This window comes from Homo sapiens, chromosome 18 (genome assembly GCF_000001405.40).
Source record: "Homo sapiens chromosome 18, GRCh38.p14 Primary Assembly".
Lineage (NCBI taxonomy): Eukaryota > Metazoa > Chordata > Mammalia > Primates > Hominidae > Homo > Homo sapiens.
This window is the reverse complement of record NC_000018.10, coordinates 55459526-55477772: the sequence shown is the minus strand read 5'-3', so window position 1 is coordinate 55477772 and position 18247 is coordinate 55459526. Positions and strand designations below refer to the sequence as shown.

Genomic DNA, 18247 nt, shown 5'->3' with positions numbered 1-18247 from the left:
TAAGGCAGATGTATTTTCACTACTTCAGTAGTGAACATGTTTTATAGAACCTGAAAGTGAAAGTAAGGGAAGCAGCATGGTTTAGAGGAAACCTTGGTCCATTTTTCCGTCATAGACCTGTCCTGCTAGCAAAGTCCTGGGCGTTTCTTAAACTGATGGCAACTGCGTGTGCCCTGGTGGTGAAATGGTGTTGCAGTATGCCTGGGCACTGCCCTGTGAAAAAGGACACACAGAGGGGAGACTCACAGTTTTGTTTTCATTGCTGACATGGTTTAAAAATGTACGTTGCTAGCTGTGAAAACTCAGTCATTATAACACCGTACACCTTTCTTCTTTCAGCAAGTATTCCTTGTGAACATTAGCAAGTATTCTATTCTCTGTTAGAATTAAACAGGTAATCGTAATAGCATGAAAGGGTGAAAGTATGTCTTATGCAAAATAGCCTCTTTTATATAGGGCATCTACCAATTTTCTTGTGATTTTTGTTTTTTCCTCTTTTGAAAAATGATTTTAGTCTGCTCGTGTTTAGGTAGGTAACTTCTCTTGATCCCAATTTTATACTTTAAATGATCCCAGATATTGCATTTTAAATGAGATGAGTATATAAAAAATAGGAAGCAGAAAGCATAATTAAAAATTGTGGTTACATTATCGTGAGACCAAATGACCAGTCAGACTCCTCTGACCAATTTCATAGAAAATAAGGAGGTATCATTTGAACAAGTTGTAACATATGGGAACTGTTTTAAACACCATCATTGATATCAAGAAACTATTAGGAAATGCAAGTTTGTGTATCGTGTGTGTGTGTATGCTGATTTTACACACACAGGCACATGCACACACATGCACACACACATTTATAAGCCCAAGTAAGAGAAACCTTTGCCAATGTCTGCCAGGCATTTGGCTGAAGTGGAATTGTGAGGAACATTTTCTCAGCCTTTATAAATCACAGTTGAAATATGTCAGCACTGTTCAGTTTATAAAATGACAAGGGCTGTAGGCTGGGCATGGTGGCTCACGCCTATAATCCCAGCATTTTGGGAGGCTGAGGTGGGAGGATTGCCTGAGCCCAGGAGTCGGAGATCAACCTGAGCAACATAGTGAGACCCTGTCTCTACAAAAAATTCACTGGGTGTGGTGGTGTGTGCCTGTGGTCCCAGCTACTCAGGAGGGTGAGGTGGGAGGATTGCTTGAGTCTGGGAGGTTGAGGTTGCAGCGAGCCCTGATCGCACCACTGCACTACATATACCCTAGATGAAGAGCAGGACCCCATCTCAAAAAAAAACAAAAACAAAAAACAAAAAACAAAAAAACAACGAGGGCTTCATCTAAAGGTTAAAGGGACTGTTTCTACCTTATATTGATTATAACAAGTTAACTCACTCAATATTGTATGGTATGCTTATGCTGTATTGAATGGCAAAGTTCCTCTCACAGTCTTTTTTGGGGTCACCCTTCACTCTTCACTTTGTGAGGTGGCTAGTTCATTTGTATACCTGCTCTCTAAATGTGGGAATATATTCTTTTAAAAGTGGCAACTCAACTTATCTCCCCCTTCTAAAATATTTTAGATGTTTCCAATTTTTTTTTTTGTACGTCAGCCCATGGAAACCACACTAAATTTTTCTGTGTCATGAGTATGCTTGTCTCTGCATTTGAATTTAATTGGGAAGTGCCTCTGAAATGGCAGGTCTCCTTTTTACACAGTGGTTTACAGAATGTGGTGGGAGGAGGCACCAAATAGCCTGTTAGGATAGCATGGCTCCAAAACTGATTCTTTAACTTGCCTTTATACATTGCATTAATTCACAAGTGGATCAGTCCATCTTGTCTTCATCTTGGCCAAATTCCTTCAAAATTAATAGTAAAATATGCCTAAATATATTCTTGTTCCTGCCCTCCCCACTCCCACCTAGGTCACAGGGCTACAACTAATCATTGTCTCCATTGAAATGTCACTAGATGATCAACGATTGAAGAATATTTCTTACCAATTCAAATAGAACAGAAACTTCAGTCAAGTTTAGCATTTATTGCCCTACATTTCTGCGGCTGTCAAAACCAGTTGATCAGAGACGTGAAGATATGTAAGGAAATAGGAAGCTGTGATGGGTTATCGCTTGTCTAAGAGTGGTACAAGTGAGACTTGAGGGCATTATCACTTTTTACCTTATACATTTTTGTATTTTAATTTTTTTCAATAAGCACATACTTAAAAATTAGTTTGAATGTTCTTAACGAATCTTTCCATAGGTTACTGATTAGTTCAACAGGGACAAATTATAATCATACATTGCAGAATTTGCATGCCACTTTGACCAGGTGATCAAAATTGGCATAGCACATGAGGGGCAGACCAACATGCCATCAAGGGGCTCTGGAAGTGATGTCCTGGGAAGGACACCAGACCACTATTGTAGTATTATATCCACTGGAATATAATCATGAGGAAGCATCTGATCCTCCCAAATTGAGAAACATTTCCATAAAATAACTGGCCTGTATTCTTCCAAAATTCTAATATCACAGAAGGAAAAGGCTGAGGAATTATGTCTGATTCAAATGGATAAAAGAGATAGACAATTCAGTGCAGTGCATGATCCTGGACTTTGTCTTCTACCGGAGAGGGAGGAAGTTCCCTATTGGAATATGGATTATGGATTGGATCTAAGTACCCACAGTATATTTTCTGATTTTGATAATAGTACTGTTTTTGTTCTTAGGAAGTGCACACAGAAGTACTAAGGTGCAAAAGGATATAATTGATGCAACTTACACATGGTTCAGAAGCAACATATTATATAATTATAACTGCACTGTAATTGAAAACTTTTAAAATTAGCCTGGTGTGGCAGTCCCAGCTACTTGGGAGGCTGAATTGGGAGGATCTCCTAAGCCTAGGAGGTTGCGGCTGTGGTGAGCTGTGTTTGTGCCACTGGACTCCAGCCTGTGTGACAGAACGAGACCCTGTCTCAAAAACAAACAAACAAAACAAACAAAAACCCCAAAACTTAAAAAAAATAAAAATGTAAAATATGGGAAGAATGAAAAAATTATACATTTTCCTTGACTTCAACCCTTGATCTTTTCTTGATCAGTTCCCAGGTGGGGTTAGGATATCTGTGTTTTTTATGAGGTTCCTTGGAGTATTTGGGTGGTCAGCCACCATTTGGAGATCACCATGTAGTGCCTAGATTATAAATTATCCTTTTAGAAAGAGTTGCTGGAATCATTTCAAGATTGGTCAGGTACCAATAAATAAGTAATAGAAACACCCTCAAAATTGGAATTGAAAGAGTGGAAATTTATTTTATTTAGTTTGGGGATATGAACATGGTATAATATTGTCGCATTTTTTCTGGAGTTTAGATGAATAAGAGCAGCCTACAGTTGACCGGATGACTTAATATTTTTTTCGTACCACAAAAATTAAATGCTTTACTAAAACTTTCATTCTCTTACAATTCTGATGAACAAGGTTGTACTGTATGGTTAAGTATCACACTGTAAATTTAGGCAATACATGTCCTATTGAGCCCATGGAGTAAAATAGATTTTCCCGTGATCCAAGCTATTACAATTTCAGATGTGTAAAGTATTTCAAATTCATTTTAATAGACTGCTTCCCTTCAAATACATGTGGAGGTAGATTTATACAACTGTAAACAGTTTATGCATTTTTACAGATTTTCATTATATGTGTTTGATACTAATTTACCTCTTTTTAATTGTAGGAGAGATAAAGAATTAGTAGTTTAAAACAGTAGGAACTGCGTGTTCTGCTGTGATCAAGGAATTAGATAATCTGGCTTGTTTGCTTAAGGGGTCTGTATCTTGAGACTTTTATAGGGCAGTATTAAAGCTCTGAGCCTCCTTATTATGCCAGTACCCAGAAGATTGCTTTAATGAGAAGTAAAGGGCCTTTTTCCAATTACAAGGGAATAACTGCATTAAGTTCCTGTGTTATGTCAACCTGCTTTGATTTGATTACTATGAAAGAAATGGATTTATCTGTCAGTGTTACTTAATTAAGCCTTCTCATTGATGTTTTGCAGAGTAATATAGTGTGGTTTGCACATTTGAGCCTAAGTACAGAGAAAATTGGCCTAAAACTAAGACATGACCCCTGAAGATAACATGCAAGATTGATCATTTGTCATTGCCAGGTCATAGGCTGCAGTGTTAAACATAGGTGGAAGGATTGCCATGTTGAAAGGGTAAAATGAAAATCAGTTTATGGGAGTGAGTATTTTAAGCAAAAGGGGTTGTGGTGGAAAACTGGATTTTAGGGAGGAGTTTTGAATATGTAAAACTATTGACTTCACCAATATTAGTCAAGCATCTGGAATAGGAAATGACAATAAAACAAACAGGAGAAGTAGATTTTGTTAAAGTATAAAAGGAAATAGAAGAAAAAGGAGAAAGCAAGAGGAAAGAATGCCGTTTGGGAGAAGTAGACCATTGTGGTTAGGCAGAGCAATTACAGCCTACAGATATTTCAATTAAGCCAGCCTCCCCTTCTCAGAACCTCACAAATGGCACCCTCGGGAGAAAAGAGGTATCAGGAAAGAAAAGAAGAAAAGAGGAAACAGTTCCATGTTTCATGTTGGCTAACCTCTCCCAAGAATAAATTCAATAAATTATTTACCAAATAGGCATTTTAAATACCAGTTTGTATATCTGAAGTCATTACAATATTATGGATTTTGCACTATAAATATTACATGTATGGTTTGAAAAATACACACGTAATTACATGTAGACATTATCAGAGGTATATATTCAGTTTTATTAGGAAATGAAGCATATTCTTAAATGTATTCCTTAGTTGTTTAACACTTTGTTTTCTAAAGTATCTACCTTTTATTTCTTGCACTCTGTGATATATCTTTAGAAGGTGATATGTCTTTAGGAGGTGCCAAACACCTACTTAAAAACTTCCTTGCAATATTTTCACATTTATTTAAGTACTTTGAAACTTATCTGTGTAATGTTGAAGTTAGATGGTACTTTGATTTTTTTTTCAAAGTCTTCAGATATGGTAACTTACTTCCAATTGTTATTCTCACGCAATTCACAATGTTTACTCTCCAAGAAAACTGTCTTAGTTAAGACTGATTTTTAAGTGCTTTTAGATTGGTCACATTTCGAAAAGTCAAAGAAGGTATATATAGTTCACGTTATACTCTTGCTTGAGTTATTCATGGCTCTTATTTGTAGGATATTGCTTTAAAAGGTAGGATCCCCAAACGACTAACTTCTCTTCAAGAGGAAGACCCCAGCTAGCCAGTCCCATACACTTGAAAGGTTGCTAAATGGCACTCATCTCTCAGCATTTCACATTATATATTCAAGCTAGGGTATAATTCAAGTTAGATGATCGTTGACACCTCCAAATATATAAATTAATATAAAGGCTTCAATGTACGTTTGGTTCAGTTGCATAATGTAACTGTTTACCACCTTGAGCTTCAAAAAGATTTCTGAGTTTCAATATAAGGAACACCACTGACATATTTGTAACATAACAGTTACCCACTTCATTTTGTTACTTTCTCATTATCTGAATTTTATGTTATAGGAAGATGCTTTCCCTGTTTATGACAGCACACAATGGAATTAACTCCATATCTTAAGCAGCAGAAATGTAGTGTTCATTTTTGAAAAACAGGTTATTTTGAACTTAAGGAAAATAATACTGTTTTAAAGGACTTATTAATGGAAGTTTAAGTTGGATGTTAATTAAGGCTAAAATATTGCAGTAATTGTCTGCGAACACTTTTTTCCTACTATACTTTCTCACCAGCATATCTACCCTTTAACTTTTCTTATCATATGAAAAATACTCTAAGATGATCTCATGCTTGACCTTTGAGTTTCAGATTTATTTGGTTAGGAAATCCATTAGCTCTGAGAAAGCCAGGGTTGACAGCAGTCATCTGAAAATGGAAAGCCCAGGTCTGTATTCTTTATATTTGACTTATCTTTTTTTTTTTTTTTTGAGACAGAGTCTTGCTCAGTCACCGAGGCTGGAGTGCAGTGGCACAATCTTGGATCACTGCAGCCTCCATCTTCTGGGTTCATGTGATTCTAGTGCCTCAGCCTCTTGAGTAGCTGGGACTACAAGTGTGCACCACCATGCCCAGCTAATTTTTGTGTTTTTAGTAGAGATGGGTTTTACCATGTTGCCCAGGCTGATCTCGAACTCTTGGCCTCACTTTTTCTAGTCTGATAGTTTTGATTGCTGTCCACATAAGCAAAGTAGAGCTTTGAGTAATCAAATCATAATCCACCTGCCTCGGCTTCCCAAAGTGCTGGGATTATAGGCGTGAGCCATCGCACCTGGCCTGACACATCTTAACATTTGTGTGGGAAGCATTGACACAACCCTCATCCTTTGCTTAGTCAGATTTGGGAAGTGCTGGAAGCTTCTTGTCGAGTTTCTTGTTAGTGCCCAGATCACTCATTCTGAAGCACCATTTCTTATGTCTAATAGAAAACAGAAACAATCATGCTTGTGTGGACATCATCTGTCAATATTTGAATCTCCTCAACTCTTCCTATGTCTGTAATAGTACTCAAATTTGACTTCAAATTACTCTACTTAGAGCTCTTATTATACTGGGTGCTAATGAAAATGTGCACATCCTTAACACGCTCTTTGCTGATGAAATATTTTGAACTCTAAATTCATCTGGCACTGACGGAGAGCATATGCCATCTCAGTTTGTGTGAGGGCTCAGCCAAGGGTTCTTCCTGGACTAGGAAATTAGTAGGAGCCACAGATGTACGCAGTCTGTGAGTCTCCATAATGGTGTAGAGGATATTTAATAGTGTCTGTTGTTGCAGGAAGAAGGTTTTGAGGCAGTGTAGACTTCATTGTGTTTCAGAATGATTATCTTTCCTGGAAGAACTTGACATCCTATCTCTGAACGCATTCTGAATGTGTTGAAATTTTTATTAAGAAATCAATATATTTCCACAAGAGCAGGAATCTGTAGACTTAGAGCAATGCAAAATACCATTTCAGGCATTTTTCTAATTTCATAAAACTCTAGGGTCCTGGGTGATTGGCATGTTGTAGGCTCAGAGTATAGAAAGGACAACTACACAGCTCTACGTCAAATCAATCTAGGTAACTTTCATACTTGTTTATTTCAAATCAAGCTGAAAGTTACATGGTATTTAGTCTGTGTTCTTAGCTTGGGACTCTGATCAGCATACATAACTTCTGACAACATGTCATTTGTGTATTACACATAGAAGTACACTGAGATATAAAGAGAATACTCTAATGGTAAACTAAGCCACTGAATAAATCTAATGCTTACTGAATTCTTACTCTGATAGTGTTATACAGGGTCACGGAGAAGGTAGGATTGTTTAACCTAAACGTTTTGGGTGTTTCTAAGATCCAGGAGAGTATTTAAAAATCACTGACCTGTTTAGCAGAACAAGGAGTCATAAAAATGTAAGGCTCAGATTTTCTTAGATATTGGAGGGTATTATTAAATTAGGCACTCATGATAAATACTGGTGACTATGGTAGATATTTACTACGGATCAAGTACTTTCCTAAGTGTTTAACAAATGTTAGTTAATTCATTTACTTTAACAATAACTCCTTAATCTTGCAAATACTATCATCCCCTTATCTTCTGTTAGAATACTGACTTTGGGGTATGTCTTGGGTTTTCACTTCTGTTCTCCTTGACTCAAGAGGCCATTACATTTTCAAGGCTGACAGATGTCCCCAGGGCAAAAAATGTGTTTTCTTCTTCCCTGGGTTCCAGCCTTCACTTTGATTTTGGCTCCCTGATTCCTTGTTATCTTGTCTGCTCAGTATTTTAAAATTTTTCAAAAAACTGTTATCCATCATTTTTAGTTTTCTGTGGGAGAGTTGTCCAAATATACTAGCCTGCCCTATTTCCAAGAATGGAAATCAAACTTGCTTATTTCGTAGTTCACAAAAATGAGTACGGAGAGGCCAGTGACTTGCTCAGACCAGAGAACTGGTCACTGCAGAGTCCCTGCTGAAATCCAGCTCTTTATCCCAACTCCCAGTGCTGTGTTTTCTAAAGTTTGTCTAGTCTGTCTGATAGTTTTGATCTTGCTGACCACAAGAGCAAAGTGGAGCTTTGAGTAATCGGATTACAAGTGTAATGAATGTGGATGGGAAATCGCAGAAGGTAAGAATTATGTCTGAACATCTTTCCCCTAAATAGAGTGTTTGGTCATAGTTCTGCCCAAACTGTTGTGTTTTGGCACTGATCTGTCAAATACTTTATTTATTATTTTTTTTTTTGAGACAGTCTCGCTCTGTCACCCAGGCTGGAGTACAGTGGCTCGATCTTGGCTCGCGGCAACCTCCACCTCCTGGGTTCAAGCAGTTCTCCTGCCTCAGCCTCCTGAGTAGCTGGGATTACAGGCGTCCACCACCAGGCCCAGCTAATTTTTGTATGTTCAGTAGAGATGGGGTCTCACCATTTTGGCCAGGCTGGCTTCAAACTCCTGACCTCAGCTGATCTGCCCGCCTCGGCATCTCAAAGTGCTGGGATTACAGGCATGAGCCATTGCACCCGACCAATGTGTCAGACACTGTAGAGGGGACTCATGCAGAATGAATCAAATAAGATGAAAATTTGTGGATTTTCAGATTGCCTCCTAAAGCAGCCAGCAATCCCATGGAAGAGTTACTAAATCTATCTTGGTTTAGGGTAAAATAAGAAATTAGAAAAATCTTGAACTGAGCCCATTTCAGTCTTTTGGAACAGGAATTTCTATCATCTACTTGCTTTCTTCCTTTCTTTTTGCCCGGGGTAATATCTTTCTCTTTATTCTCCCATCTTGGAAAAAGGGTGGCAATAGAACAAGGGGGGGGGGGGCGAGAACTAAATAGATTCAGCAGCTTCATCCCAGGCAGTTTTTCATTTGTCACTATGTTGCCTTAATGGATTTCACACATCTATTTCCTGTATATTGTTTAGTCTCACCTCTAGATGTAAACACTTCTCATACCACAATATTATCTTACTTTTCACTTTCTGCTGTTTTAACTCATTTCAATAAAGAACTAATGAGCCCACCATTGTACAGTACCACACAAGATGTTATTTGTGTCAAGTATGTTTCTTTCCTATAATAAACGTACATCACAGTTGGGTATGATATAAGTATATAGCTCTATAGCTGTATATATATTCACATGGTTATTTGGATAATAAATTCTGTGTACTTGCTGAACTATCGTATTGAGCCAGCCATACAAGTTTTATCATTGTGCCTACTGTTGATACTATGGGCTGCTATGGGATATTCTGTCCTCTGTGTTGGGAGCTCACAGATATTTTCTGTCTGGCTTAATACCAGGATTAGGTATGCTTCTCCTGGACACTTTGTGTGTTTTTATCTGATGGTTATTGTCAATCTTGTTTCCCTCTCTGCTTTGTCTACTTAATAGCTTCTAAAGTTTTGACCCACTTCTAGCAAATAGCCAGTCCTTCACTGTGTGCATTTTGATAAACTCATCATACCTCTGGCCTTACTGTTCTGCTACTTTTATTTTGCAGTCACTTGGGTCCTTCAAATATTGATTTCGTATATTTTGTGTTGTATGTGTTTCTGTAATCTTTTGTGGACACAAGAGTTGGGTATAAACTCCCAAATAAATATATTCACTCTGCGTGGGGAGAAGTGACAGGAGGGAACGTTCAGCTGGTTAGACAGAGATGTGACATTCTTACTGGGGAGTCTTTACAGCAGTGGGCAGAGCTTCAGCCTCCTTTTGTGTCCAAGCTCTGCCATTTCCTGATCCCTTGGGCAAGTTTTCTAACCCATCTGAGCCTCAGTTCAGATATATAAAACCAGAATACTAGTAAGGCATTTGAGAGTTTAGCGCAGTGTCTGACATACATTCAAGCTCACCACATGTGAGCTGTTACTCTTTCTTTGAGAGGTGAGGAACAGTTTAGGCAGAAGGAATAGCAGTTACAAAAACATGGTGGTATAAAAGACCGTGCAGTGTCCTGGTACCCTAGCAGGAGTAAGGAATGGCCAGGTGTAGGCCCTGTGCAAGGTTTACATGAAAATGAGTCTGGACAAGAACTTCTTGGATGCTCATGTGATGGAGGTGTATAGTGAATGCTGCTGAAACCAGCAACCCAGACAGCAATTTTAAGATATGGAGTGAGAGAGGCTGCTGTTGGTGGTGTGGGGCATGCATTTGTCTTGTGTTACAGTGGAGTAGTCCTGTGGTTCTCAAACTCCTGTGTGCATAAAAGTTACCTGGGGACCTGTTAAAAACAGTTTTCTCAGCCCCACCCCCAGAGTTTCAGACTGAGTAGATATGAGACGGACCCTAATAAGCCAATTTAAAAATGGGCATACAGGTGATTCAGGTGGCGGATACACTTTGAAATGCACTTGGTGGTGCACTGGAATAGTTATTGAGGAAATGCTAACTAAGGGGCAGGCCTGACAAAGTTCAAGGAGAGGGAAGATGGAAGAAAATGACTTCAAAGTAACATGTTTACATTCATTATGAATTACCATTGCGCATGCTATGGAAACACTAGTTTATAGTGTCTTCTATGGATATGGATAAATGAGCACCGGTCCTATAGATTTTTTTCAAAGGTAAAATATAATTAGAATTCATATGATTATTCTATTTATTAGGTTTGGGAGAGCTAGTGATTTGTCCTCATCCTTGAGATCCAGCAGGAGACCAAGGGAAGGGGAAGCCTGTTCAACAGAGAGCAATCAAAGAAAGAAAGGTGCAGCAGCGTGAGGTCAGGAAGTGGGAAAGATGGAAATGGGAAAGGGTGGAAAAAGAGCAGTCAGATCCGATTGGTCAGGAATCTATTTGTGAAGGAACCCAGCCAGTATTTAACCTGCTTTGAAAAAGCTAGACTTCCAGCATTTTTAATTAGTGGATTGCTCGCTTTTGAAATTGCCCAGTTGGGAATACTCAAGTGTTGATGTGTTTTATCTGCCTGCTAATTAGCAGGCTGCTTGGTTGACCATTACTTTTCCTTTTTTCTGTGGACAGAAGATGTATATGAAGGTCTCTTGGTACATTCCAGCTCAAGTCTAGCTTAAAGTGCATAAGAAAAACTGTGTATTTAATAAGAGTTCTTACTAAATTATAAATCAAATTTTAATACATCTTTTCTCCAACTTGATTCCTTTTGCTCTAGCACAGGGCTTCTCAATCTCAACACAATTTTTATTTGGGGTCAGAACACCAAAAATATATATATATATTTTTAGGGACAGGGTCTCACTCAGTTGCCTAGGTTGGAGTGCAGTGGCACAATCGTAGTTCACTGTAACCTTGAACTCCTGGGCTCAAGGGATCTTCCTGCCTCGGCCCCTCCAATTAGCTAGGACTACAGGCAAGTTCCACCACACTTGGCTAATTTTAAAAATTTTTGTAGCGACAGAATCTTGCCGTGTTTCCCAGGCTGGTCTCAAACTCCTGGCCTCAAGCAATCCTTCTGCTTCAGCCTCCCAACGTGCTGGTATCACAGGTGTGAGCTGCTGTGCCCTGCACAGGGTATTTCTTACTGTGGAGAGCTGTTTTGTGCAATTATGAGATATTTAATAGCAACTCTTGGCCTCTGTGTGATCAATGCCACTAGCAACACCCAAATTGTGACAACCAAAACTGTCTCCTGGGTGGCTTTGCCAAATGTCCTTTGGGATGCAAAAGCCCCACTGACCTGGCAGTAGCGTCCTCTTTCCTCCAAGTCTCTGCCTACTTTTCATGTTTAAAATCCTCTTTTAAAATTGAAAAGATAAAATGAGTCCAAACAATTTGAAATCTTATGGTACTTATAGGGATTCAAATCTGTTCCTCCATTACTTTTTGGCCAAATTCAAGAGGAGAAATCTCTCAAATGAATCCAAGCTGGCTGTTATAGGTGAAAAGAAAGTCAAGATGCGCCAGACTTTTAAAAGCTTGCAGTGGTTGAGAGATTTTGTTATTTATACACTTTTTATTTTGGCTGAAAATATTTGGTTTTTGTTTAAGAATTAAGAGAACCGTGTAGGCTACAAAATTTATTTATGTGCGAATCCCAGAGGGTTGTAAGTAGCTTCTTTGTGTGCTTCAGTTCAACATATACAGGATAGGCCAGCATGTTGGATTGTTAAACAGCAGATCTGGGGAAGGTTTTACACCTTTTCTCTAGGCTTGGTGCAGTCCCGAGAGCTTTCTTGACATGCCTTGAAGCTCACAGTGCACTGATTTAAACTGTCCATAGGGGACATCTGTTTGCAGTTTGTGTTATCTGCTGAAGCACCAACTAAAAGGAAGTGAAATAATATTTGTCATTAAAAAAAAAAAGAGAAGTTAATTTAATGGTAATAACTTAGTTGTTGTTGCTTTTCTATCTCTTAAGATATTCTGAAACACCATGTACTCTACTGTATCCCAAAATAAATAAATTAATTATACTATGATTACTTCTGCTGATAATAAAATAGCAGTAATAATAAAAGGAATGACAGTAGAGCATTAAGAGAATAAACAGTATCACTGAAATGTGAGGAAACACAATAAATGGGATTGTGTCTCCTGAACCTTAGTTTCACACTTCCTCCTCCACTTCTGTCAGAGGGTGTTTGTGATGGCCGTCTGTTATCAGCCGTGATCAAAATAATATAACAGTGAAACTTTTTATACTTATGAAGGCCCTTTCATCAAAAATCTCACAGCCATTTCTAAATATAGAGCAACTGATCTTTAAAACACTTTTATGTTTTAAGCAATTAATATGGTAACTTAGCTGTTAGACTTTCCATCCTGCGTATTTGCCATTTGGAGCGTGGATGGAACATTTCGTAATCTACTCAGCATTAAAACTTTGCTGGTATTGAGTTTAGAATTCCAACTTTTCGATGGTTCATGTAGGTCTTTTCACTGTCATCTATCAAAACAAAACATTGCTTTATAATGGAATAACCACATTCATTTCCACATATCAAAACCCAGATTAAGGATTATAGACCAAATGGTATGTCTAGTTTAAAAAAAAAAGGAAAGACAGAGACAGTATTGTCTTAACCTAAAAAAAAGTTTTGTTTCAGTCCTAATATCCCTGTAATGTGCTGGTGGAAATAGACTACTGAATACTTTCTCAGTCTCATTTTCTGTTGCATGTCTGGTGTCTTCTGTGATAAGCCTGGGCTATGGAACAAAAAGGATCCAAGAGCATTATGGCGAGGATGCTAAAGGTGTTAGTGTGGATATTTACCTTAATTTAACTTTTTTTGCATTAAAGTTATGTTAGTGCATTTTTAAACTTATTTTATCCAAAAGATTGTAATAAAACTTTAAGTACAGTTTCACATCTATAAAGACTGAGGCTATCAAACACTGTGAAGGATGGAAGTAATTTTTATGTTTATACCTCTGGTTCCTGAGGGTCCAGTTCATTTCTACTGTGAATTTAAATGAGTTAATTTAAGTAGATGGGTCAGAAGCCACTATCATCATGGTAGCCCGGTGCCTGGTTCTTAATTAAAGGCAACAGGAGATTAATTTGAAACATTAATTTGAAAGTGCATATACAAAAAGAAAAAATTACTGCAAGAAAGCCTAAAGAACTTTTCTCTTGTCCCTAGATGTAGAAGACAGAAGTAGCTCAGGGTCCTGGGGGAATGGAGGACATCCAAGCCCGTCCAGGGTAAGTATATCTAATCTTTTCTCCCACAACCAGACATCCCACATATGTAAATTGACAAACAGAAGGTGTGTTTCTCTCTCTCTCTCTCTCTCTCTCTCACACACACACACACACACACACACACACAGAGGCATGGGCATGCACACGCACACAAACACACACGCATATATGTGCATACTAAGTTTAATGAGGATCAGCTTGACTTTGGAATTTTTTTCCCCCATTCTCTTATTGGATGCTGTTATTCAATTTGACACCTGTTCCACTTCTGCTAACCAGAAGAAAATTCCTTCGTTACATGTTTGGTCTTTCTTTTGTCAGTTATTGATCCATATTACATAATGCTGTTTGTTGTAGATGGAAAAACTTAAAAAAATTCCTAATATCCCTATAAGGTATTGGTGTGAATAGACTACTGAATAATCCCAAAGATACACTATGAAGTTCTATCCTACCAGTATAATCTACGTACTGAATCTGAGTTGATTTCGCTATGTAGACATGTTATCATTCCACCAGTAGGGACTTTGATCACTAGATGGATCATTCATTTATTTGCCCTCAACTTTTTGCTATTCTTCTCCACAGTTTTCCTACATGCATTGGTTGTTTCTTGGGGAAGACCCAAGGAATATAATGTAATAGGAATGTAATAGGAAGACCATGGAATAAGAGTTGGGTGGGTGGTTAAGCAATACGTGTTTCTTGTATGTATATGATCTTGGGCATGTCATTTCACCTCTTGGGTCCTCATTTTCTTATTTTGCAAAATGAGGAAGTAGATCCAGAGGATCATCTGTGTTTCTTCCAGTTTAAATATTCATGATTTTGTATGAAATTTCTTTAACTGAATCATTGCTAGGCCCTCTAAAATCCATGTCAGTTTTTATGATGTACATACAATGCCCCAGATTAAAAGTACACTTCGTGTACATGGTAAAACCAGCATGTCTTCCTTTCCCAACCAGCTATATATATATAGATGAAGCATTCTGCAGGGAGGGTAACATTTTACTGTAAGTGTTCACACAAATTTGGGTTGGGGGAAGGTTCCATTTTGGCATAAGAGGCAGGGAAGGTAATCAAGCTGTCAAAATGAGGGCATTTCAGCAAGTCAGAGCTAGACATTTCCACCTGTCCTTGGCATTGTGATCCTTAGTCTAGTGTTCAGGGTACAGCAGGATCTCTAAGCTTACCAGTAACTTTGTGAGCCCTTACACCAGCTGTCGAGCTTGACATTCTAATGCTTTATATGGATGGGTTGAGGAAATCTTTCCTCCTCCTCATGTTACAGTCTGCACTTGCAGAAATAAATCCATTCCCCTTGACAGCAAGTGGAGATCATAGAACTCCCCTCAATTGTTTAGTTCATCCAGATTTTCACAATTTCTTATGATTTATCCATTCAGTACACATGGTACTTTTAATTGTGTTTCAGAAAACAAGGTCTGTTTAGAATCATCTTAATTTAGGATTAAAACTAACTAGCTTTTGGTTTTTGTTAGCTGTCCTGCCATTTTTCTCAAGGAATATATTGGTGAATAATTTCAAACCAATTTTGTGTAATTTATATTTTCTAAATCCAGAAGTTTGCATGAGACAAATCATTTGTGGCAGATTTATACCCAGGCGTACTTTCAAGGTCTCTCTTTTTTCATCTTAACATGGGGATAGTGTCTACCTTACAGCACTGTGCTGAGGATTAAATTAGATAATATATATTAAGCTTTTAGTACACTATCTAGGATGAGGACACTTAATAAGTGATAATTAGCATTATGCAATGCCTGGTATAGAGTGAGTGAGTGTACTATGATGGGTATTTAAAATGTAGCCTCTTTTTATAGATGGACATGTTGGCAGAATTAGATTACAGTATCAGGCAAGTTAATTGTTATACACGAGGAAAGGTGATTGAGAACGGGGTAGTTTTCCTTAAGGTTGAGGGGATGTGTCTTTTCCTTGTTCATGCAGCAGCCCTCTCTTTTGTGTGGGCAGATTTTGCCCTTTGGCTCACATGCAACCGATACCTCTGAGTAAATTTGACTTAGACTTTCATGGGCAGTTCCACCAGCTGAGCAGAATGACTTTTTCCCCCCTTTTTGGTCACTTTATGCACTTTAGTAGACTGAAAGTTGAACCATGTAGTATAGATGATTTTAACTCTTTCCTATTGCGTTATCAAATTTCCCCATTAAAATTAAGTAACTGGACAGCTTAAGAACATTGTTTTAATTTTAAATTCCCCTTAAAACAATAAGCTGATTGTAATAATGAAATATTTCTGTCAAAATTTGTCTGCCTTACAACTGGTTGTTTTTTGTGACATGCTTTGTCCAACTCCAGAAATGCTAATTTATGCTAATGTTTTGATGTTCATATCCTAGTTAAACCCTAATATTCTTAACTTTCTTATGTGTTAATTACTTATGTGACAATCTAGTTCTCTTACAACCACAATACCACAATAGTAACTATAATAAAACATTGAAACTTCAGTATCCTAACACCAAATGTTATTGTTTGAATGGCTCTATCTTGGTCTTTGAAAAGCAATTCATTGCATGCTATGCCTAATTTTCCCTTGTGGCACAATTTTGCTTTAATGTGGCCTTATTAAAATAATAATTTTTAACATAAGCAATATACTTTGTATGTGTCTGGTGTCTTACATACACTATTTTATTTAATCATGTCAACAACTCCATGCAGTTGATACCATTATTATTATTCCTAAGATTTCTCAGCTATTATGAGGAAAATTTGGACTTCGTAGACTCTAGAGCTTTCTTTTAGCCACTATACCTGTGAAAGTGCAGATTCCTTCTAGTGAAGTTCCAGGGAGGGAATAGTGGACTCCAATTTCTTTGGAGGGGAGAAGTTTTGGTAGTGGAGCTATGTTTGTTTATGTGCTGTTTATTAATATAAAATAATAACTTACACTGTCATTTTATTTACAGAACTATGGAGATGGGACTCCCTATGACCACATGACCAGCAGGGACCTTGGGTCACATGACAATCTCTCTCCACCTTTTGTCAATTCCAGAATACAAAGTAAGACCCATTTTAAATTAACTTACACTTTTTGAATGCTCAAGTTTTACTATAGAAGGTAAAACCATGTCCTAGACAGAGGTTCTGCTTTTAGAAACTTGGATATTTAGTCAGTTCACTTGTAATAATCTTAAATTGCAGAGAGGATTGGCAGTCTGTGTTTGGTAATAGTGCATTAAGGATTAAGTTTTACAAGCATATGGAATGAAATGCTTTTAGTGATACTGAATCTATGTGGAAATTTTGTTTTCCTTAGACCTAAAGCACGGACCACAGTTTCAATGTTGTATCAGTAGTTTCCTAAGTTAAGGTAGATGAAGTCAAAGTGGTGAATATTTAGAATAAAAATATCACTGGGCTTGTTGGTTGGCAGTGATATATAGTCAGTGTTAACTGTGATTTCTGCTAAAGGGGTTATGAAAATAAATGGTGTTAATGGGCTTAGTGTGCTTAAATCAGAGTAGTGCATTCAAGTTGAATTGTAAAATCTGATTGTATATTTATCAAGGCATGAACTTTAGTGCTAATGGCCTAGGCAGACCCCATCCTGCTTTATTAAAGCAAGTTACCTGTTAGTTTGAGGCTGTCTGTGAATCTCCGGCATGCCATTCATCCTGGCATCCTCAGCATGTTTTTCTGCTTTTGGCTACCCTGTAGGGATGTTTGTTTAACAGCAGTAACTTGAGCAATGAAAAGATGATTCCTAATGGCTTAAAAGGTCCCAATAGCTGGCTACTTTAGTTTTGATTGAAAAAAAAAAAGATCTTTGTTCTAGTAAACATGAGTTCTTAACAATATTAGTAAATCTCTCAACCTGGCCAAATTCTCTTGAGAATCTGTCAATAAGTGAAGTTAAATTTCTTGGTACAATCTGTTGGACAACACTCCAAGGAAACACACACAGCGATGATTATATTTTTCTGAGACCATAACTGCAAATGCTTCTAAAGAATGTCATGATTTTAAGCTTTGGAAGCTATACCAGTTACTTCAGGTCCTTGAATCTCAGGCATTCTTTGAAAAATCACCATCAAATCCATCTAAATGGATTTCAGATATTTAACACAAAATAGTCAAAGCAGATAAATACTAGCAACTTATTTTTAATGGGTAACATCATATGTTCGTGCCTTTGAGTATCTTACCAACTTTGAGAACCACAAAGTTGGTTTTGGTCATAGAATGTTCTTATTTTTGTGCTATTTTTGCCTTCAAAGTAGTAAATTTCATATTTACGTTTTAACATTGTAACTCAAGCAGGAATCCCAGTTCTTTATCAGTTGTTGATAGAAAGGTGCATTGTTTCTTGTTCTCAGGATATGTAGATACAGGTGACCAGATATATTTATCAACTTAGATTTTAAAAGGCAGCTTTTGACTCTTCAGTGTCAATAGTTATGATTTTATTTCTAACACCCTTGCTTCTCTATTCATCTCCACACAACCACTTAGAATAAAAGATTCACTTGAAAATGTAGTCTTGAGAAGTAGCA

The 18247-nt window shown here is 37.6% G+C and overlaps 1 protein-coding gene and 1 long non-coding RNA gene across 35 annotated transcripts in view; one reads left to right on the top strand and one right to left on the bottom strand.

The window, feature by feature from the left end:
* TCF4 (transcription factor 4) overlaps positions 1–18247 on the top strand; it is a 413773-nt gene that overhangs the window by 158185 nt on the left and 237341 nt on the right. For all 34 annotated transcript variants that reach the window (NM_001243226.3, NM_001369584.1, NM_001369576.1 and 31 more), the window contains 2 exons: positions 13636–13697; positions 16658–16754. In NM_001243226.3, the coding sequence (NP_001230155.2) occupies positions 13636–13697; positions 16658–16754 (159 nt within the window). The remainder of the gene's footprint in view (positions 1–13635; positions 13698–16657; positions 16755–18247) is intronic.
* The window catches only part of TCF4-AS1 (TCF4 antisense RNA 1), a 30408-nt gene that overhangs the window by 5168 nt on the left and 6993 nt on the right, over positions 1–18247 (bottom strand). The window lies entirely within an intron of this gene.